Here is a 22,634-nt window from a genome sequence, read left to right as displayed (position 1 = left end):
TCTTACCACAACAGAAATTAATTTTTTTCCACAGTTTTGGAAGTGAGATGTTTGAAATCAAAGTGTTAGAGATTTTTTTTTTTTCTAAAGGCTCCGCAGAAGAGTCTGTTCCATGCCTCTTTCCTAACTTCTGGTGGCAGCAGGCAATCTTTGGCATTCTTTGACTTGTAGCTGCACCATTCCAACCTCTTTCTACCTCTGTCTTCACATGGACTTCTTTATATGTCTATCTCTTAAATCTCTCCCTTCTTTTTAAGGAAACCAGGCATTGGGTTGAGAGCCTACCCTAATTCCAGGATGATCTCATTTGCGAATCTTTAATTACATCTACAAAGACTTACAAGTAAGGTCACATTTAGTGCCAGTGTTAGGACTTGGGCATATTTTTTTGGAGACCACTATTCAACCAGCTATACCTTCTCCACATTTCCTCTATCATCTAATTCTACTTTTAGTCCTTTACTGTTACATGGATTGACTGTACTTTTATTAAAAAATGAATATGCTAATAAATCCCACATATTTATTCATTATGCAGATTCCTGAGCCTGAGTCTACTGACAAATATACCACATCCCCAGAGTAAGTTGGAGTCTCTTAAAATTGTCTTGCTGGCATCTAGCGGAGATTGTCCCCACAAGCATGTTCCTTATGACGGATGCCTGGGTCAGAACACATAATACAGTAAGTATTGTAGAAGCTCTAGTAATATTGGTATTGGTGACATTTTAATAGAACAAGTATTTTGGTTTACCCTAAGATTTTTCATCAAAGGGGTTTAAGCTGACCTCTATTCAACTTCCTAAGATAAGAATTCTATGGAAAATTATATTGTAATATTTACATTTTATCTAAAATATTTATAAAACATAACTTTCATACATTTATTATTTTCTGATATAATATCATAATCATAAACATAATTTTTATGCTTCAGTGTGTGGAATGAATGCTTCCAGTCAGACTAGAAACTTTAAATCATTAATTACCTCCCCAGCATTTTGCTTCCTGTTCTAATGCCTTCAATTTACTTATTACAATTTTAGCATAAAAACTATTTTTCCTAAACCAGATTCTGTTTTTATTTTTCTGAGGCAGTTTCTGATAGGTAAGATATTTGAAATTTTCTTTATATGCTGAAAGTCACCTCAAAACAATTTGGTAAGATATTTGATAACTATTATTTTTCTTAGGTATAAGAGCATAGCAACATAAATTATTTCATTGTAAGATGCACCTTATTTTTTGTACCACTATGATTCTGATTTTAGAGATGTTAAACTGAAAAAGGTGTGTCTTAGAATCAATTATCCTTAATTTCTAAATCTGTGCATTAAAAATCCTTGAACCCATGCATTAAAAAAAAAACTTGTTTGTTATCTTTTATTACAGTGTGTTTGCCCTTGCTGCCTTGTTTGTTTTTGCTTTGTTTAATTAGTTTCTTTTCTTTATCTAGTTCCTTTTTATAAGCACAAAGATTCTGAGAAGCACTGCCCCTCCCACGTGTCACACTCTGGGGAGAGATTATTGGAATGCCTCTTGGATCAGGTATCTTTGGTGATCATTCCACCTAGTTAAGATGAAGCTGGTGATAGCCTTTGGCTTGTTTCAGGTAATGTAACCAGATTTTCCAGTGACTTGTGAATTAACAGGCTAAAAACTAGTTTTCAGTTTCTGGAGAAGGGTTCCCAATCTCATTTGAGGCTATTGGAGGAAAAATCCCTTCAGAAAATAAAGCATGACAGTAAGATTTTAGTATGCAGGAAGTAAATTCAGTTCCTTTGGAGATCAGCATGCCTCTATTCAATCCTCTCCTTAATCCCTTATGAGTCAGATCTAGTAGAGGGTTGGACCAGGAAATTGAGTGTAGGGTTATAGGTGATAAGATGAGGAGAGGCACTCCCCTCAGGAGTTAAGATGCAGGAAATTTGGTTTGCACTTTAGCCAGTACAAGGCATTTCACCAGGATGGAGAATATGTGCTCTCTTGCACAGAAATCCGTGCCAGCAGTAAGTGATGTGGAAGGATTTAGTGAAATTTTGCCAATAACCCCAGGCTTACTGCTTAATGAACAGAACATTCTCCTGGGACTTGAAGAGGTCCTATGAAATAAGGGACATAAATGATGTACTTTCTTTTCTGTTAGGCTTAAGAAATTCTGTTCTGAGTGCAAATAGAGGGAATGATTTCCGACTTTCCTATTAGATAGCAGATATCTTTGCATCTTGGATACATTTAGAAAGAATAGAAATGTGAATGATTGAAACCTAGTCAGTCAATTGATTTATTAGAATTCCTGGAAGAAGTCTGAGTAAACACAATCTCATTCTCTTTCTTTTTCTCTCTGTCAGTTCTTCTTCTTGGGTTCCTATACTATGGGATATAAATGAAACAGTGCAATGTAAAACTAGTATAATGATGGTCGAGAGTAGGTCCCCAATAAATCTTGGTTATTACTGTTATTGGAGAGAATGATGAAATTTAAAGCTAGTGGGGGAAAAAGAATCGTACAAACTGGAAATGAATTGGAATGAGTGTTGCTTCAGGTTGCCCTCAATTTGGTATCAGTACCCTCAGTAAATCAGAGTTGCTGTGACCTGGGCTTTGATGTAAGGGTAGCAGAATGATTTAGAAAAAACAGCATTAGATTAAAAGCCAGAGACATATTATAGTCCTAGTTCTTTCGCTTACTAGAGATTTGACCTTGAAAAGCTTAATTTGTTTAAATCCCGTTTCCTCATCTGAAAAATGAAGACTGATGATATCTGTCCTAACTCCATCTTGTGATGATCCAATGGAATAAAGTGCTGTCAAAATGTGAGGTGTTTTTTTTATCCAAAAAATTCAGTGAATTTACATTTTATAAGGTAGTATATGCCATCTCTATGTCTTAAATCCCCACAGCCTCAGGCCAGGAAGGTGTCCTCTTTTCATGGGGGAATCCCAGTAACTATTAGTTGTAACTACAACTATTAGTAACAATGAATAGTTATTATACTACTACAATGATTGTTGTTATATTTAATTTAAACTACTTATAACAAAAGTAATAAGTAGTTTACAATCACCGTCACAAAACAACCACACCACCACAACAATCAAACCTAGAGCAACTAAGGGGACAAGATGTACAAGCACTAGGGGTGTAGAAGAGCAATTCTGAATAGGGGGCCTGGAAGTTCTTATGGCAAGCTGACAAGTTGAAACCTGAATGAGATTTGAAAGAGTTAATGGAGAAATATGTGCATCTGTATGGGGAAAGAACATTCCACAGGGAGAGAGCAGCTAAATCCAGTGGCTCAAGGTGGCAACATACCTGATGTGTTCACGGAGCAGCAGAGCAATCAGAGAGGTAACTCAGTGGGGGATACTCACCTTTGACTTCTCCACATTTGATGATCTCTTGGGTTTGCCTAATCCATCCTGTTACATGTCAATATATATACTTATATTTTACATAGACAATATATGATTTTAAAATATATTATTTAGGCATATATATTACATAATTATACGTGTAAGTACACATATGTGTGTTGTGTGTATATATTACATATGTGTATTATATACATGTACCTATAGTATATATGTGTATATATAATATGTAATGTTTTGATTGTACTATATATAGCCCTTACCCCACAATTTTGATATCAATCTTTTCCAATTAATTGTTTTAAAAATATATAAATATATTATTGAGGATACCCCATACGCATTGTTATCTGGGCTGAATAGTTTCCAAATAATAATTTGAGTCAAGTATGTTATACAGAGTAAACTGACAAGATAATTTTTCCTACATATTGCTGTCTTAGCAAAAATTTGGGGAGTATGCTACATAATATACTTACAATGAGGCATTTTGAAATAAACGTAAAATAATAACAAGGTGTTACACTGTAGAAGTAGGATTTGTTTCTTGCTATCTGGAGGAAATATTCTATCAAATATTAGACTTTTGCTCCTGGAAAAAATATATGCATAGATTTGTGAATATAGATAGATATATTTATATAACTATTAATCTACCCATCTTTCTAGCTATATAGTTATATACAAATACACATAAATGTGTTTATAAATGAAGTAAATACAAGTTTCTTAATCCATGTCTTTATGTTCAGCTTATTTATCCTTCTATTTTTGTACAATTATATCCTATTATATTTTAATTTATTGGTTTTTGTCTAGATATGACCTTATCCTCTAATGAAGTTTCTCCAGGATTCTTCTATTCCCCAAGCCCTGGGCTGTCTTTCAATCAGGATACTGAACATTAGAATGAGAAAATCCTTTTTCCTCATTTGATACCATTCTAAACACACTTTATGAAACTTAATTACCTTTTTATTATGGTAAAAATGATGCTCAGTAAACTATCAGTTTTCAGGGTATTCTTTCCTCTCTCATCGTCAAATGGTAAACTTCTGTTTTTTTCAGCTATAGCGATGTTGTGAATTCTTAACAGCATATATTTGACTATTTTATCCTACAATAGAAAGGATAATAAACATTCAAAAACCTCTAAATTTTTTTTTTTCATATGAAGACAGCCATTTTATCAGAATATAGAGGCAAATAAATCTTCTAAAAGATATGATAGGAAAAAAAATACCCTTGGTCTAAGAACCTAAGAGAACAATATTGTCCTCCATGAATGTTGATATCTAAGTTTGCATTCCTGAGAAAGCCTTTAAGGCTCACTTTCTAGATATATTTGAAATAACATTGAAAGGATAAAAACGAACTCTGAACTGTGAATGTTTATTCCAAATTACTGAAAGACAAATCTGAATTAAAAAATAAAACTTTATCACATTTTATCTAGGATTACATGGAGACCTTAATTAATGAGCTATGAGTTCCCAGGGAGATAAGAACTATTTTCTAAATGTATAGTGTTCCTGCAGAATCAAACTAAAGTTTTCAAATAACCTATCGTGTATGCATTGGCTATGTTTATTTTAGGCTTAAATTATTTGAGTATGATAGCTCTTGATTTCTAATCTGAGAAAGGGAGAGATATTTACAATTAATCCCTTTCTAGAAGGAATATGTCTATTGTATAACTATAGTTCGAATTTCTATCTATTACAATGAAAATTTGCCATTAGGGATAAGACATTCTTTATTATTTCTCTGTATCATCAAAAGAAGTTTAAATCTACCCTGAAAACAAGGAGAAGTTGTTTGGCTACTCTGGAAGCATGATACTCAAAGCAACTGGTATAGAAGTCTTTTCAACTTCCAACTGTGTTAAAATGAAAAAAAATTAATGTCAACTACCCTATTAAATTCTGTACAGTTAGAAAAATCTACCCCTCTGATAGAAGCTTTAAAAGAACCAACCAGTTCTCACCAGTCTTAGGGTGAATTCAATAGTGTCCTAATAAAATGGGAAGGGTTAGGATATAAGAGCATTTTTTTTGACATGATGCTCTCTAGGGAAGTTAAATTTATTTCTAACATAAGTACTAAATCATAAGAGAGCCAGTGCTTTAGCTTTTTCAGAATGTGGTGCAATTTTTATAACTGTACTACCTCATCTCTGTTTGAACTCTAAGATTTTATACTATGCAATCTGACAGCTAGTTATAAAATGGAAAATGGTGTTGTTTTAAGTCAAATTTGTTGAGGGCAGTATTGAGAAATTTGCATGACCTGTCTTTCCAGTTGTAATACTGTATCAGGCAACAAATATTTCTGTTTCTATTTCCATGTTTATGTTTTGTGATGTCACCTGTAGGCATCTGTCTCAAAGAAATCTAAAACTATTTATTATTCTGTTTTCTAGCTCTGTCCAGATGTTTAGCTACAGGGTAGTGTTACAGCCCAGATTAGTGCAGCTGGTTAGAAGACCCTGCTAAATATGTACAGCATCTGTGGTTTGTCTTGGGAGGTTGGATTTCTATTAATTAAATGTGCAGCGAACTTACAAAGATCTTGCTTCTCAGTTAAACTGACTATGGTGCAGAACTAGTTTTAAAAGCCAAGAATAAATGATATAACAGAAAACTTTTTTAAACAAATGTACCCAACTATGCCAATAGAGTAAAAATATATTTAAATGAATAAACAGTCATTTTATCTAGAAAGTATGAGTCTATTTTCAATATTGCTGCTAGAAAATAGCACATTTTTGTAAGATTACCTGAGAATTAAACTCATTGCTTTTATTGATAATTTAGTTTAAAAGGCCACCATTTCTTCCTGTATCCTCTTCACTTTGGTGTTTACTTTTATTTAAAGAGAAAAAAATTGAGTCAAAAATAATCATTCCAGCAACATTACACTGAGCCAAAATTAATCAGACAGCAACTACAGCTTGTACCACTTATGATTACAGTTATGATGTTTAGATGAATTTCCTGGCTTAATATTCTGTTAGGGGGTCTTTTGTCATTATTGAGACATTTGGAAAATGGATTTTATGAAAAAGTATTCTAACAGTGAATGCTTACACAACTGTCCACTGAACATCTGCAACAAATTACATAAGCTTGTAAACATAATAAACAAGCTAACTTGAAAACTATGAGGGAATAAACAAAATTTGATTCAGTTTTCTTTGGCTAGCTCAAATAATTTTATTTGTAATGGTTTTTGCAATCTCTGTAGTATGCATGCCAGATACCCTGCCTGATACAGGGGACCACCAGACTGATTAGTTTAAAAAGGAAAGAAAAGAAAGAAAGAAAGAAAAGAACCAGAGCCCAAGCCCAGATTTCACACATAACATGAATTGGGAATTGTACAGATTTTATGCATATAAATGTGTGAATTCTCACTGGCTCTTTATTTTTCTTCAAACTATGTTATGGACTGAATTGTGTCCCTCCAAAATTCATATATTGAAGCTCTAACCCCCTGTATAACTGTATTGGAGATTAGACCATTAAGGAAGTGATTAAGATTAAATGAGGTCATAAAGACAGGGATCTCTGATTTGCTAGAAGTGGTGTCTTTATAAAAGAGGAAGACACACCAGAGATAGCTTTCTCTCCCCCTACCTTGTGAGGACACAGTGAGAAGGCAGCCATCTGCAACCCAGGAAGAGAACCCTCACCAGAATTTGACTATGCTGGCACCCTGATCTCAGATATCCAGCCCTCAGAACTGTGAGAAATAAATTTCTATTCTTTATGCCACCAGTCTATGCTATTTTGCCATGACAGGCTACCTGACTCGATGACACCTGTTTAAAAGAAGTAATTCTTCATTATTGAAGCAGGTTATAAAGCTTCTTCATAATTCAAATACTGCAAAGAAGTTTTCACTGTTGATTTCAGCTTGCTCTGAAGTTATCAGCACAGATATTCAGAAATTATAATTAACAGATGAATAAATTAATTGTCATATGCTTTATTTTCAAAATAGTGAGCTCTGAACCTTGGTCATCTCCTGGGATGACACATTCCGTGAGGACAGGAAGCAATGCTGCAGGAGAATATAAAAGATCATCACCTATATAAAAGACCTATGAGACCTTTCCAGTTTCCCTTGAATTGGTAACAATATCTAGCTTTTAAAAACCAGATAAATTAAACTTTGTAGCATGTTGCTATTTGAATGACCTACTCCGTGGAATTACAGCAGCAGTCTAATCCTTTAGGAGAGATGGCTCTATCAATCTTTGGATTTTTCTAATGTGGAAGCTACTCAATTGCATCTCAGAAATCAGGGAGGTAATTACTCATGCAGACAGCACAAAATGAAAGAAAAAAATGCAAGTTCTGCTGAGTATCCCTTTTAGAACAAGCCGTGGAACAAGGAAAACAGCCTCTATAATCAGTCAAATTCTTCCACTAATTTTTCAGGTGTTGAAGGCTGTAGTGAGAATACATGATATGAAAGTTAACAAACCAAAGTGGCTTTAAGAGTGGGTTTTAGAAGACAGCAAAAAGGAGGAGAGCTATTTCTTATTTTTAAGCAAGAATTCTACTAGGAGTGAAGTTCAGTTCAACTTTATTACTTAAGTAAATGTTCTAGGACTTAAGTCTGATGTTACCTTATGGATCATGTAGCAAAAGTCTGATCATTCTATTAATTATAAATATTTTCAAAAATATTAATCTGTGGGGTGAGTTAAATATTCAAATTTTTGACAGCGTTATTTGGGATTTCCAAAAGTTTAAGAGATCCTATTAACAAACAAACTATAGAAAAGAATTTGAGAGATGCTGCTTTGGTTTATTCTAGATTACTTCAGACTTTCATGTGTTCTAAAAATCTAAAGGATTTAAACCTCCAGCTGAAAGCTTCTCTTTGCCATAAAATGTTTGCCTCCAATCATTTAAGTAACTCGAGGAAGCTTCTTTTCACTGAAGTGAAGAGAGATAGCACTGTTTTTATGAAGCATGCAGTCACTGGGTTTGACATTACTTCATTTTGTTTTTCATACTGTGCATACAAAAATTTAGTTATAAGTCATCTCTTCCTTCTACTCAATCTCCTCTTTCTTCCAGTCAGACCTGAGTATTTTTCACTTAAGATATTTAATTTGAATACTTAACTAAGTTAACATACTTCTTTCTCCTTAGGGAAAACAAAAAGTGGGGAATAAGGTCAAGAGAGCTGTTCAACATTGTGACCATGGTCACGTGGACTCCAAATGTGCTAATTTCTGGTTGAAGTTCTTTTTAAATATAAGCCATCTTTCAGATTACCAGCCATATGAGAACAATTTTGTACCATGAAAATACTAAAAAATGATGTAATTTTTTTTGGGCCGCTAGCTTTTGGGTGATTCTATATCTATAGGGCAAGATGAAAAATAGTGGTAAAGAATATTGATATTTTTAATCTGTATAAATGAGCTAGCTACACCCTTGATTTGGCAGTACATTTTTTTTTTCTCTGAGAGTTGGGTAATTGTCACTTTTGCAGCCATTTAAAAAGCCATCAGTGACAGTAGGCTAAGAAACAGGAAGAATGGAGGTTATTGTTCATCATTAGAGCTGGGCTTTTGTGTGGCCTTGAGGAATCACAGGTCGTTGAGGTTTCATTTTGGACAGGTTCCAGATAATGCAAAAGTGAGCTGCTTTATTTCAGAAATCCAATTCAAAGTTCACAAAACTATAATAGTACATACAGGTTGCATTCCATGTCGTCTCTCACTCTTTCTAGTTACATTTGTTTTGTACCAGATTACCATTTCCCAGAAGGTGTCAATCTTACTTTATATCATAGTCTTTGAATAATTAAGAGAGTTCAGTCTTAATGTGTAACATTCAAGTGAATGAAGAATTCAAAGAATGCTGAAAAACAGTTATCAAATTAATACTCTGAAAGTTTACATATGCAAAGGATGCAAAATATAACATTGAGAGACATAGATTCATTTTTGTGATACTGGTTTTTTGAAAAGTTCTGAATTTCTCTTTTTCTATCTGCTTTGTCACAAAAATAGCTATAGGGGTAAGGCAACTGACATAAAACACACTCAATATTACGGGATGTAAAAGAAGGAAGATATTATAAAGATATTATAGTGTGTATACAGAGGAAAAATGCCATGGAGGAAGTGGAATTTCAAATGGATCTTAAAGTGGAGATTGTGATTTCTTTAGGTGGAGTGGATCTCAGTAATGCTTTCAGTAAACTAAGCTGACCACAGTGTGTAGGATGGATAAATACTAGTGGGGAAGGGCAAGACATGACCGGTGATCCTGGCAATCAAGGTAGGGAGTAAAAAAGGTTCAAACCGGGTGGTGGCAATAAGAATGGGAAGAGGAACGTGCAATGCAAAAAGCATTGAGATTTGGGAACTGGTTATAAAATTGAGGGTAAAAAAGGATAAAAAATATGAATCTGACTTTTCGAATTAAGAAACTGGAAAACAGTCTAGATATAAAATAACACACAAATGTTGAGTGTGTTATTGCAACTAGGGAATTGTAATCAGGAACGAAGAGACAGATCTAGGAGTAAATTTCCTTAAGTGTGATAATTGAGCCAACAGGGATGATTGTGTTTTTTGAATAGAAGAGTGCAGAAAGAGAAGAGAAGAGTTTTAAGGACAAAACTTTAGGAGATGGCTACATTTCCAAGAAGGCAGGATAAACAGAGGTCATCCCCAGGTAACTTTACTTAGGTCAGAGAATCAAAGAGAAGGAATTTTCAAGAAAGTTTAAAGTAGTCCAATGTTAGGAGATGATAAAGAGGATAAAGACAGAGGAAGAAAACTAAGGTTGAGTTTTCTTCTTTAACTCCATTTATTCATATATAGGTTGACTTTCTTTATAACATAATAAGCTTTTAGAAAGATTGACATTGTTTGCCAATTTTAAATTATTTCCTTTATGATTTCTATATGGCAGAAAAGATGGCTGTTAAGAACCGATGACCTAAAACACTTTCCTTCCTGTAGTTTCCTATCTTCTTCCTTAATCAATTCTCTCTCTCTCTGTCTCTCTCCCCCTCTCAAACTTAGACTGCAAGTTGAGTGAAGGTGCAGCAAACAATAAATACATTTTCGGTTAGAAGATAAACAACCTAGTCAGTATTAGAATTCTCTGAGGCCATGTCTTTCTCCTCTCAGAAAACATTCACTTCGTGTTTATTAAAAAATAAAATGGCATTATTGGAAGGAAAAAAAAAAATATGTGTGCCCTCAAGAGTGAACCCTCTGCCTAGTAGGAGAAAACAGTAAAAAGGTGGTCCTATCATTTTTCATTTTTGCTGCAGAAAACACAAATGCCTTTTGATGCCAAAATAAAAGAGGGCTGGAATTTGAATAGAATACATTTCTCCAGCCTAGAGATATTCCACCATACAAGGATGCCAATACTAAGACACGTTGTCTTTTATAAAACTTCAGGATCTTAACATTCTTATTAAGAGGGTGAGAGAGGAAAAAGAAAACACTCTTAGGGAAAAAGTTAGGTAGACAAATTGTGCCAGGAACTCTGATAGAATCCTATCTTGTTTCTCTTCACTGTCTTAAACAACAACAAACTTAGAAATTCTGGATTCACTGACAAGAGGAAAGTAAGGTTATTAGTTATGAGCATCTTTATTTCCTAAATATGTATCACAGAAAAACTAATACCTCCTAAAGGTCAACAAGTCATTCTCAGGAAGAAGACAATATTTTGAAGAGTTTTTATGTTATATTAACCTTTAGCCTTTGAGATGAAATTGAGAATAAATTTCTGAAGTTAAAAAAAAAGAGAGACTAGGGTGTGGGTGAAACTGCCATTGCAAAATTATAACTGAGACAGTGAAATGTATCTGACCTAACCAACTAACTCCATCTTACTTCTAACCTCCAAGCTGTCCTTGTTCATTCCTGAGTGTAGGCTGAACTAACTTTGGGAGAAACTTAGTTTATAGTTTAAAACAAAGATGATAGCAGCCCTTTCCCAAAACAAACCTCCCTGCCTGGGGACTAGAATGCCTTTGTAGGACTAACAAATTAGCCTCAAGATGAGAAAGTATGATTTAGGAATCATGCAGCTGGAGGCTACAGGATTCTGACCCTCCCTAAATTGCTCCTAAGATCAGTGCTTGAGATATTGTGCAGACCCTGAACTTGATGGATCAGCTGGCACCACCCAGATGGATAAACTGGCTCATCTGATCTTGTGGCACCCAACCCAGGAACTGACTCAGCGCAAGAGGACAGCTTCAACTCCCTATGATTTTATCTCCGACCCAACTGATCAGCACTCTTGACTCACTGGCCTTCCCCCATCTGTTGTGGGACTTTTCCTTAGTTCACCTAAAAATGCGGTCCTTGTCACACAGCCATGAAAATTTAGGCTCACAGACGATTTGAAGAGTGAGAAAAAATGGGATTTCTTGGTTGAAAAGGAAAAAAAAGGAGGAAACAGAGACTCAGAGAATCGAGAGAGTATGCTTCATGCCCATGGGCTTCCTGCCTCACAGATTGAATCCCAGGTTCCATACAGGAAGAAGAGGGGCCAGGCTCCTCCTCACTGCAAATGGTGCAGACTTCTGTAGCTCCACCCCAGTGTGCATTTCTCCCAGTGCACAGGCCAGCTGGAGCCCTTCTCAGCTGTCTGTCTTACATACACCAAATTATCCTTAAAATTTCTGATCTCTGGATGGCTGGGGAGACTGATTTGAGTAATAGTAAAACTCTGGTCTCCTGCATGGCTGGTGCTGTGTGAATTAGCCTTTCTCTATTGCAATTCCCCTGTCTTGATAAATTGGCTTTGTCTAGGCAGTGGGCAAGGTAAACTCATTGAGTAATTACATGGGGAGGGGGAAGAAAAAAGAAACCTATTGGTATTTTATTAGAATTACTTTAGAACTATGAATCTATCGTGGGTGGTGATTGGCTATCTAGGCAATGTTGTTTTCTGATTGAGAAACAGCCCAAGTTGGCTTTTTCCCTGAATCTTCCTTCACGTACCCTACACTTTTGTTGCTAGGATTATCTTAGTTAATATTTTTGTTATTGCAAGGGTGCAAGTATAGTATTTTATTCTAATTTTATGATAGCTTTTTGATCTCATAAAGAAAAAACATTGATTTTTAAAGTACACTTATGTATTCCTATATGTATACTTGTCACTATTAAGCATTATAATTATTATAAAAACAGTAATGTTTCTATTAAGCTTAAGCACCAAACTGGCAAAAATACTATTAATAAAAATAATTAATTTGAGGCCTAATATGAGCCAAGCACTTTGGTAAATATTTTTAAATAAACACCTCACATAAGCTTCACAATAACCCATGAAATTGATTCTTCTATGGCTTATCTTTCATAGATGAGGAACTTGAAGGTTGAAGAGGAGACTCAGCTCTTTAGTGGTCAGCACAGCTGATGAGGGAGGAGTTCTAGACAGGCCCAAAGCCATTTAATGGGTTTTTAACCTCTATGCAAAACTGTTTTATAAGCTGGTAATATTGATAATATGCAGATTTAATTACACACTGTAATGGGTAAACTGACTGCAGGAGACACAGGAATTCTCCTTAGGGAAAGGACTTGTTTGCTTGTTTGTTTAGAGAAGCAGAGTTAAGCTTTTTGGCTGTAAAAATTTAAAGAGGGAAGAAAGAGACTGTTTGAGAGTTGCCAAATGCTTTAACATCAGAAATGAACAGATAATTGGGCTTGGGGAAAGCCAAATAAGAGGAAAAATAAGATAGTGGCAAGAGGAAAGAGAGAAGACCAAGGAACACAGAGTGGGCAGACGTGACTAAATTACATCATGACCTTAGCATCTGCAGACATCCTGGAGAGAACACTGGATTTCCCCCTGAATGAGGACGGAGTTTGTGTCAATTCTATGGAATTTAAGAGGAAAGAGTTGACATTTAGATTAAATTAATACAAGATATACAATTCTTAAAGAATCAAGTACATATTGGTGTCTGTCATTTTATTGGTAATTTGAAAGCCATTTTTACTCTAACGAAGGATAAATATTATGAAAGAGAAAAACTCTATTTTGATGTAAGTACATGATGTAGTTTGGCTGTGTCCCTATCCAAATCTCATCTTAAATTGTAACTCCCCAAATTCCCACACATTGTGGGAGGGACCAGTGGGAAGTAATTGAATCAAGGGGCGGGTCTTTCCCGTCCTGTTCTCATGATAGTGAATAAGTCTCACGAGATCTGATGGATTTATAAACGGGAGTTTCCCTGCACAAGCTCTCTTCTCTTGTCTGCTGCCATGTGAGATGTGCCTTTCACCTTCTGCCATGATTGTGAGGCCTCCCCCGCCACATGGAACTTTTAAACCTGTTTCTTTTGTAAATTGCCCAGTCTCAGGTATGTCTTTATCAGCAGTGTGAAAATGGACTAATACAGCACAATAGATGACAGCAGACCTCAAATTGATGTAAACCTCATGGTTTAGGAATAGTTAACTTGATCTTGTACAAGTAGTGTTTGAATAGTGAAACTGAGCATTAAGTCCATAGCTTATATAACCAAAAACTTGCAAAGATACACACAGAGGGTGATTGCATTTACTGGTGCAACTGACCACTTGCCTGTGCTGTTATTCATGTTAATTATTGTCAAAAAAGTATCTCGGGTTTTAAAAGAAGATAATCATACTATCTGCAAATAATGTTATCTCCTTTTTACTAATAAAAGGTTTGTCATATAGTGGAGATCTCAGTTTACCTAGATTTTATTTATATTTTAAATCAGGGATACTGCATTTTTATTAAGCTCCTTATTAATATTTATTGAAGCAATCATCTGCTTTGTTGTTATAAATTGATGTCATATATTAATCAATTTAATATTGAATAATAATTACACAAAATGCTATGTGGTTGTGGTGAATTCTTTTAATGCTGTTGAAATTTTATTGTTATTATTTTATTATTTTTTTCAGCAGTATTTGTCTGTGTTTATAAGTAAAAGCAGCTTAGTTTTCCTTTTTTTAACAAATTTTTGATGCCTTGAGATGAAAGATTTGCTACTGTAATAAAAGCAAGTGCATCTTATGTGTGACAGAGCAATGTAAAAATCAGTTTCTTAAAAATTTGAAAGAAACCACAGTAAAATGAGGTTATTTTGCTGAAAGTAAAAGTGCAAAGAAAAAAACGCAAGGAAAAAAATTACAAAAACAATGACAAATAATTTCCTCATAACTCTTCAAACTAATATTTATATGATTTATATTTTAATGGATTTAATAAAAATAAAAGCATTAGCAATTTTAAAATAACTTTTAAAATTATTTTCCAATTGGTGTATGTTTTTTTTGAGAAAACTTAATACATCAAGCATTTAAAATATATTTTCAATAACATCTATTTTACTAGAATAAGGAATCGAATATATTTAATAATTAAATTATGTTTCTACTAATTCATTGATTTTTCTCTTTACTTTTTATTTTCCTTTACTTTTTTTTGGCTAAGTTGCCCCTTTTTCTAACTTCTAGAGCTGCATATTTATTTTTTTATTTCTATCTTTAGAAATAAAAATATTATAACAATAAATTTACTGCTGAACATCATTTTTGCTAATTTCATAGGCCTGGTTTTGTGGGTTTTCATTTTTGCCTTCTACACCAGTATATTAACTGCAATTTGAATTTCTTCTTTGACTCTATAATGATTTAGGAGAATTATAATTTTATTTCCAATGTTTTGAGAATGTAATTGTTACCATTACTTTAAGTTTTATTACTTGTTTCTAGTTTATGGTACTGTGGTATCAGGGTTCAGAACGCAACACCCCAAAATATGTTGTGTTTGTGTGCTATTTTGAACTGAAGAAGATTGGAAGGGTCTCAGAAGTAAGGCTTTTCTCACCTTCTACTGTCCTCTTGTCTCCCCCCAAATCAAGTCATAGACACCAGAATTATTCTTCCCCAATTCAAGTCATAAAACCTAGAAAGGTCATCCTACGACCTTCTTCCTTGTTTTGAAGACCTTCATGTGATAGGTGTCCTGCCTTATACCTTGGGAAAAAAATGCCACACACAGAGGCCATGAAGAATCTGAACAGACAAAGCCTACAGGGTTTTCCCCCTCAGTCTGCTAGTGTTAGCTCATACTCTTTTACTCAGTCACATTTCTACATGGCTGTCTATTCTTTATTGAACTTAAGAATAAACACAGACGGTTTTCCCTGGGTCTTTGGGTCTTCATTCCTGAAGGCTCTTGTGTAATATAAAACTTTGATTAAGTAAATTTTTGGCTGCTTTTCTTTTGTTAACCTGCCCTTTGTCATAAGAGTGTCTGTCAGGACCCTTATGATGGGTGAAGAAATTTATTGATGGCAGCGGCAGGCTATCCGGAGTGGCCACTGGCATCACATTGCCACTGTGGGAAGGGAATGGAGAGGAGGTGGACAGCCCCCTGCAACCTACTGCTCTGGGGGCAGCCATGATGGGGCTGCTCCAGGTCACCCACCGGTGAGGCAGCAGTGCGGTCGGGCAGAGAAGGGCCCTGAGACAGAGCTGGGCCTGGAACAGTGCTGCACTTGCACATGGAGGGTGGAGACTCAGCTTGGGATGGGAGCTAGGGTTACATTTTTGGGGGCCTGGAGTGGGAAGTGGGAATGGCACCTACCTGGGGGAACCAGCCAGCAGTACAGCCATGGTGCCCACCCCACGAGGGCTCTGGGTTTCTATGCCTCTGGAGGTGGCTCTGCACGTGGTCACTCATGGCTGGGTCCCCAGTTCCACCCTGCATCAGGGTAATGCTGAACCTGAAACTCCCAGTGGCTGGGCCCGGGGCCCGTGATCCACTCCTGGAGGTGCCCCATGGGTAGGACCTTGAGCCAGGTGAGGGTGAGCCCCAGGATGGAGATCACAGTGATGTCGCCCCTGCCCTGGATGCCAGCCTGGGCCCAGCGAGGACTTGGAGCCCTCGGCCCAGGTTGCGAGGGTGTGCGGCCGGGGTTGCATGCTCCATGGAGCCGGCAGGAGCTGGGAGCAGGCAGCAGTCCAAGCTGGGGCTGTGGACCCAGGCCTCCCTCTGCTCTTGGGGGTTGGGAGCGGGCAGGAGCCCTGCCCATCCCCAGGCACAGCTGCAACTGCCCAAGTCAGTGCTGTGGACCTAGGCATCTCTGTACTCTTTGGGACCTGGGAAGGGCCCCCACCCCGGGCCTGCAGGCTCAGAAGTGCCTGCTCCCACTGCCTGGTTTCTCCTCACTGTTAGTGCCTGCTCCTATCTTGGAGCAATGTGGGGCAGAGCCCAGGTGCTGTCACAGCCTGGCCAGAGGTGCACATGCTTGGGACAGCACTGACACAACAGCCCCCTGTCGCCTTGATCCCCTCTGGATTTTGGGCACCAAGAAGCACAAGAGGGAGCCAAAGAGGGTGCTGAGGACAGCCTGGCACTGGCCTGCAGTTGCCACTTGGTGCAAGCAGCCTGGGTACCATGGACTGCTACACGGACTGCTGCAGGATCCTGGGTGGAAGGGGGCAGGTCCCTGGTGAGGCCCCACCTTCAGGCCAGGGAGGGCCTGAAGGCTGAGGGCTGGGCTTCCAGTCCCATTGACTGAAGTGGGAGCTTGTGGTGCCTTTTCCAGGCCTACCCATGGCTGCCCATGGACCAATCAGCACATGTTTCCTCCCTTTGAGTCCCATAAAAGCCCCAGGATCAGCCAGAACAGAACAGACCATGGGACAACCAGCTGCAGAGAGGAGCTACTCTCTGTGCTAGGAGCTGAACACATGATGGGACACCCTGGCTGCAGAAAGGAGCTGCCCCCTGCAGGATACTGAGCTGTTCTATGACTCACTAAAGCTTCTCTTCATCTTGCTCACCCTTCACTTGTCTGCATATCTCATTCTTCCTAGTTGCAGGACAAGAACTTGGGGCCTGCCGAATGGCAAGGCTAAAAGAACAGTAACACAAACAGGGCTGAAACATGCCCCTTGCTTGCCACATTGTGGGTGAAGGGAAGGAGAGAGGAGCTGTGGCCCTTTGAGGAGCCTAGACCTGGGAACTCCCTGAGCCAGAGCTGTGACTCCCTCTTTGGGGCCCTATGGTTCCTGATGTCTCCGAGCTCCTGGACATCAATGCATTCCCTGGTGATAGCCAGGGAAGCTGCTGTGATGCACCTGGTCCAGCTACACCCTTGCAGAGAGCTGGTGCCCATGCTGCACCTGGAGCTGCCCGTGCCACAGCAGCAGCTGGTGTGTCTGACTGCTCAGTGGCCAGGCCCCACACTTGCTCACACACCCCTCGCTGCTCCACGTATGACTGACAGTCTCCCTTGGAGGCGTGGGATCCAGGTCACTAGCTGAGCGCAGCCTGCCAGTCTGAGTGGGTGGAACAAGCCCAGTGGGCCCTAGCAAAACTTGGGGCAAGGGCACCACTGGCCACAAATTTCCAGCCAGAAAAGCGACACCCCAAAGATCCCATAGCATTATTACATCTTTTTGCCCCTACAATGGGTAAAAGACTATGTTCAAAATTTTCATCATGTTTTGAAATATATTGGTTCTCTTTTGTGCAGCTTATATACATTTATTTTTTATCTTTATAAGTGAAATAAACTCTATAGGAACCAATTTCCTTAAAATTAAGATTTTAAAAAAATTTACATTATTTATATGCTACATTTTAATTTAGCTATTGTACACTAACTTGATCAAAATTAAGCATGATCTGATAAAAACTTCTATTTTGTTCTTGTTCATTTCTATTTTTATTTTTAAAACTTTTGCTTCATATATTTTGATAACATGACCATATAATTTGACATTCAAACTAAGAAACTCATGAGAGTGAAAGGGGGTGCTATTAATTAAGACAGGACAACAGGCTTACTTTTAAGACTACCCTATGAAAACATATTCTTATTGTTAACCTATATGCCTGTTTCCATTTTTCTGTTTGCCTAATGAAGGGAAAAATTGCTATCCTTGCTAGTTGCTTTAGCCTGTACATTTTTTTTTTTTGTTTGCTATTGCCTTATCTGAAAAGAAAAAATATTATTGATCTCTGTTTACCAAAGTGTTCTGATTCTTGTTAATAGTCCTGCTTAAGGGCGAGGGTGGATAAAGGAGCCTGGATTATGCAGATAGCTATGCCCTGTCTTCCCTCAGCTGCATGTTCTCCGTTTGCCCCTGGAGACACACTCTCCTCTATTCTCCTCTCCACTCTCTTCTCAGTCCCGAGACATTGACCTGGGATACATCAAAACTCCTTCCCTTTTGGCTTCCAGTGGGATTTTACCAATGGAAACCCAGCAGGAGACTGAAGAAAGAAAGGAGTGAGGGCTGGCTTGCTATTAACTAGTGCCGCAGGACTGCATGGAGGTTGCCCTACGCTCAACCACACCATGGTAAGGATCTCTTTATTGAACTCTCCTCCGTGATGTGCCATCTGTTTCTGGCTCACTCCATGACTAATACACTATCCACATATGTGTGACTATGTTTCTTCCTGTATGAAAATATATGTTTTATAATAATTAACATTTTCTTCATCTAAAGCTTCAATGCATCTGTAGAGAGAAAACAAGAGTTTTTGTTTTTTTAAGACAAAATCAACAAAATATTTAGCTTGGCATTCTCTAATTTTTAAAATTGTGTTTAAACAAAACAAAACATCTGGTAAGTGGAAACAATTGCTTGCAGTCATTTTTTCAAATTTATTCATTTATGTATTCATTAAACACGGAATTCTCTCCATGTACTAGGAAAGCAGTGCATGCTCTTTTAAAGTTTACAGTAATACCTGGGAAAGCAAGTAATTAGAGATGCGATGAGGGCTACAGAAAGAATTACCAGGCCGGGTGCAGTGGATCATGCCTGTAATCCTAGCACTCTGGGAGGCAGAGGTGGGTGGATCTCTTGAGCTCCTGAGTTCGAGATCAGCTTGGGCAACATGGGGAAACCCCATCTCTACAAAAAATAGAAAAATTAGCTGGGCATGGTGGTGTATGCTTACAGTCATAGCTACACAGGAAGCTGAGAGGGGAAGATCACTTGAGCCTGGGAGGGTGAGGCTGCACTGAGCCATGATCACGCCACTACACTCCAACCTGGGTGACAGGAAAAAAAAAAAAAAAAAAAAGAAGCAAAGATTCTGATAATAGATAACAAGAAGGCCTAACTTAGGGTCATGTGTGCCTATGATCGGGGGTGGGTGAGTGTTAAGGAAGGCTTTTAAGGAAATTATTTAAATCAAAACCTGAATGATAAATTAGGCAAACAAGGAAAAAGGGTGAGAATCTGAGTTAAAATGGGTCAGGTGGGCATGTCCTATAGAGATTCTGAAGGAATTGGTCCTTACTGTATGGACATTTATATCATGGGGAGTTAATAAAATGTTGATGCAGACAAGTAACAATAGATAACCACTTAAAAAATATCCCTCTGATTTGTGAGGTCTGGATTAAAGGCAGTTAGGACTAGAGGCAACTAGATAATTATTGCAATAGTCTAAATATGTTGTGTTGGGCCTTATTATGAAGGCGATGAACATGAAAAGGGGCAGAGTCTTCAGACATAATGAGGGAAAAAATTGTATCCCAGGAAACAATTATACCAATAAGACCTTGTAATTGCTTAAATGGGCATAAGATTAAGGTAATACAAGTAAATAGTTGAATATAACTCCCAGGTAGATGTGCAGAAAGGGCACAATTGTCATGGTGAAATTACTTTCTGTTTCAGGTCAGTGGCTTTTAGTTCTATTAAAATCACATGTATATTTTTTTAAATTATGGCTTTATCTTGTCTAAACTCTGGAGATTCTGATTAAGTAGATCCCTTGGATGGAGCTTGGGCATTCATGTTAAAACAAAGTAAAACCAACCAACCAAACAACTACAAAATTCCTTTGGTGCTTCTAGCTTACCGTCTCTGTTGAGAATCTGTGAAACAAGTTTATTAGAATGAGGAAAAACTTTCCAGGTGAAGAAAACAAAGAAGCATGGAGACAAAAAATATATTTTATGCCTAGGTAAGGTTAGTGCATATATAAATTTGCATAAATTGCCTATAGATTAAATTGCCAAATTTTAGCATGACATTCAAAATTACTGGCAATCTAGAGCCTCCTGACTTTTACAAGAGATAAGGCTTGAAAGTCAGGAGGGTCTAGATTGCCAACAACCTTGAATGCCATGCTAAGTTTGGGAATTTAATCCATAGGCAATTTCCTGGAAACTAATCCATTAAGCCAGACTTTATGGAAACTCACAAGACTCAAATTGAATTATGAAAATGGTAAACAGAATAAATACAAATAGGTGAAAAATCTGCAGTGGGTTTGTAAATTGTCGTGGTCATTTTATAGGCATTTTAAGCTACAGAACTGTGATCTTGGTTTTGGAAAAAATAGTTTGCTGAATCTTAATGTGTAATGTATTTTACTTTGAAAAAACTTTATATATATATACATATACATAAATTATTATATGAAAAATTAGACTTAATTTATTTCATCTTATTAAGAACATCAAAAATTTGAAAGAGAAAAAGAGATGTTATCTTTTTAGAAATGACTTGAATTCATTCAGTGTTTGTGTATTATGAGACTTATAGAAAGCTTAAAATACTGCAAATTGATTTGCAAATAACCCGTTATTGTCTGTAATATTTCTGTATTGTTTGTAAGAGTAAAAATAAACCTTTATGTAAAGTATATATTATTTGAGTAAAAATTATAAAATGCACATATACAAAGGTGAAATTAAATATTCATAATTTTGCCATAGGTATTTATTTTAATAATTTTTTCTATGTCAATTTAGTTTTCATTTATTATTAAACAAAAAAATTATATAGTAAGAATTTATTATAAATAGATTTCTATGTAGTAAATAATGTCTATGATCACAGCTAATGGTTGTATGGTATTCTATGTTATTGGATTGAATCAAATTATACTTAATCATTCCTCTTGTTGTGCATTTATTTTATTTTATTAAAAAATTATTTAACTATTACAATTCTCCCTCTTTCTTCCCTCTTTTCCTTCCATTTCCCTTTCACCCCCCCTCCCTTTTCCTTTATCTTTCCCTCTTCCGGTCTGTCTTTCTCTCTTTCAATTGTCCCATGTCTCTATATATTGACCTGTAAACCTACCTATTCTTTAAAAACTGTTGCTTAGTATTCCACTCAATTGTGTATAGTTTATCTTTTTCCTGCTGGTGAGCATTTAGTTTGTTTCTAGCTTTTTATTATTACAAAAAATAAAATACTTTAATGAAAATCTTTGTACCTTCCTCTTCTCTTGAAGGGAAAAAGTTTAATAAAAAAGATAGACACTTAAAAATTTTGGAACAATTGCCAAATTTTTCTTTAAAAATCTGTGTGTGTGTGACAAAATAATAAATACGCATTTTAGAAAATTCAAACAGCACAGAAATTCGCAAAATAAAAAGTGATAGCTCCTATTCCTAGAGTGTGATCATTTTAGCCAAATTGGAATATATTTGAGAATAAAAGTAAAAGTAATTAAAACTTACTTAATTACTTCAGGAACACAGGTGAATTAGAACTGCCCCTCAGAACCAATTTTATGATCACCTCACCTATTCCTTTTCCTATTTTATAATCTCATCCCTCAGAATTAACAATTAAGTTTTAGTAGTATAAACTTCCAGGTATTTTTCCATATAAACATACATGTACATATTTTTACAAAAGCAGGATTAAGTGGAAACTATTGTGCAAATTTTATTCTTTTAATTCAACATTATATTATAAAATACTTCCACATTAATTCTTACTGAGATAACTCTTTCTTTACTTTCATATTCCATAGTACTGTACTGTATTTTATGCAATCATCTTCTCATCATTATATATTTAGGTCGTCTCTCTTTTTCAGTTTCAAATCATGCTACAGTAAACATCTTTATACTAGTCACCTCAAGGAAATCTCTGAGAATACTTGCAGAAGTAGAATTATTGGGTCAAAGACGTGTTTACTTTAAATATTTTTGGGTATTAAAAATTTGCCCTTCTAATATGTTGGCACAAATTATGAACACATCAAGATTTCTTCATTCCACAACGTTTTCAATCCTTTGACAACGTGAAAGAGTCCAACTGATGTTACTGTTTAATTTGCATTTATTTGACTAATTATAAAGTTGATATGCTTTTTTGTATATTTATTGACTATTGACAGTCCTGTTGCTAAAATCATATGTTTTATCATATAATATTATTTCTATTAGATAGTGTTCCATTTACCATTATTATACAGTGA

At 36.4% G+C, this 22,634-nt stretch overlaps 1 long non-coding RNA gene across 2 annotated transcripts in view, besides 1 other annotated feature; it reads left to right on the top strand.

Moving 5' to 3' along the window:
* LINC01876 (long intergenic non-protein coding RNA 1876) overlaps positions 1-2,821 on the top strand; it is a 234,397-nt gene extending 231,576 nt beyond the window's left edge. For both annotated transcript variants that reach the window (NR_110249.2, NR_110250.2), the window contains exons 3-4: positions 539-684; positions 1,457-2,821. This is a non-coding gene — a long non-coding RNA (long intergenic non-protein coding RNA 1876). The remainder of the gene's footprint in view (positions 1-538; positions 685-1,456) is intronic.
* Positions 1,733-1,933: a silencer, noted in NCBI's record as "peak3904 fragment used in MPRA reporter construct". NCBI's record gives its function as "represses an SCP1 promoter by STARR-seq MPRAs in K562 erythroleukemia cells {active_cell/tissue: K562}" and the evidence as "EXISTENCE:reporter gene assay evidence [ECO:0000049][PMID:32103011]".
* Positions 2,822-22,634: the final 19,813 nt, after the last annotated feature.

The sequence above is a fragment of the Homo sapiens genome, chromosome 2, assembly GCF_000001405.40.
Source record: "Homo sapiens chromosome 2, GRCh38.p14 Primary Assembly".
NCBI lineage: Eukaryota > Metazoa > Chordata > Mammalia > Primates > Hominidae > Homo > Homo sapiens.
Note: the sequence above shows the minus strand (reverse complement) of the source record. Positions and strands in the feature narration are given on the sequence as shown.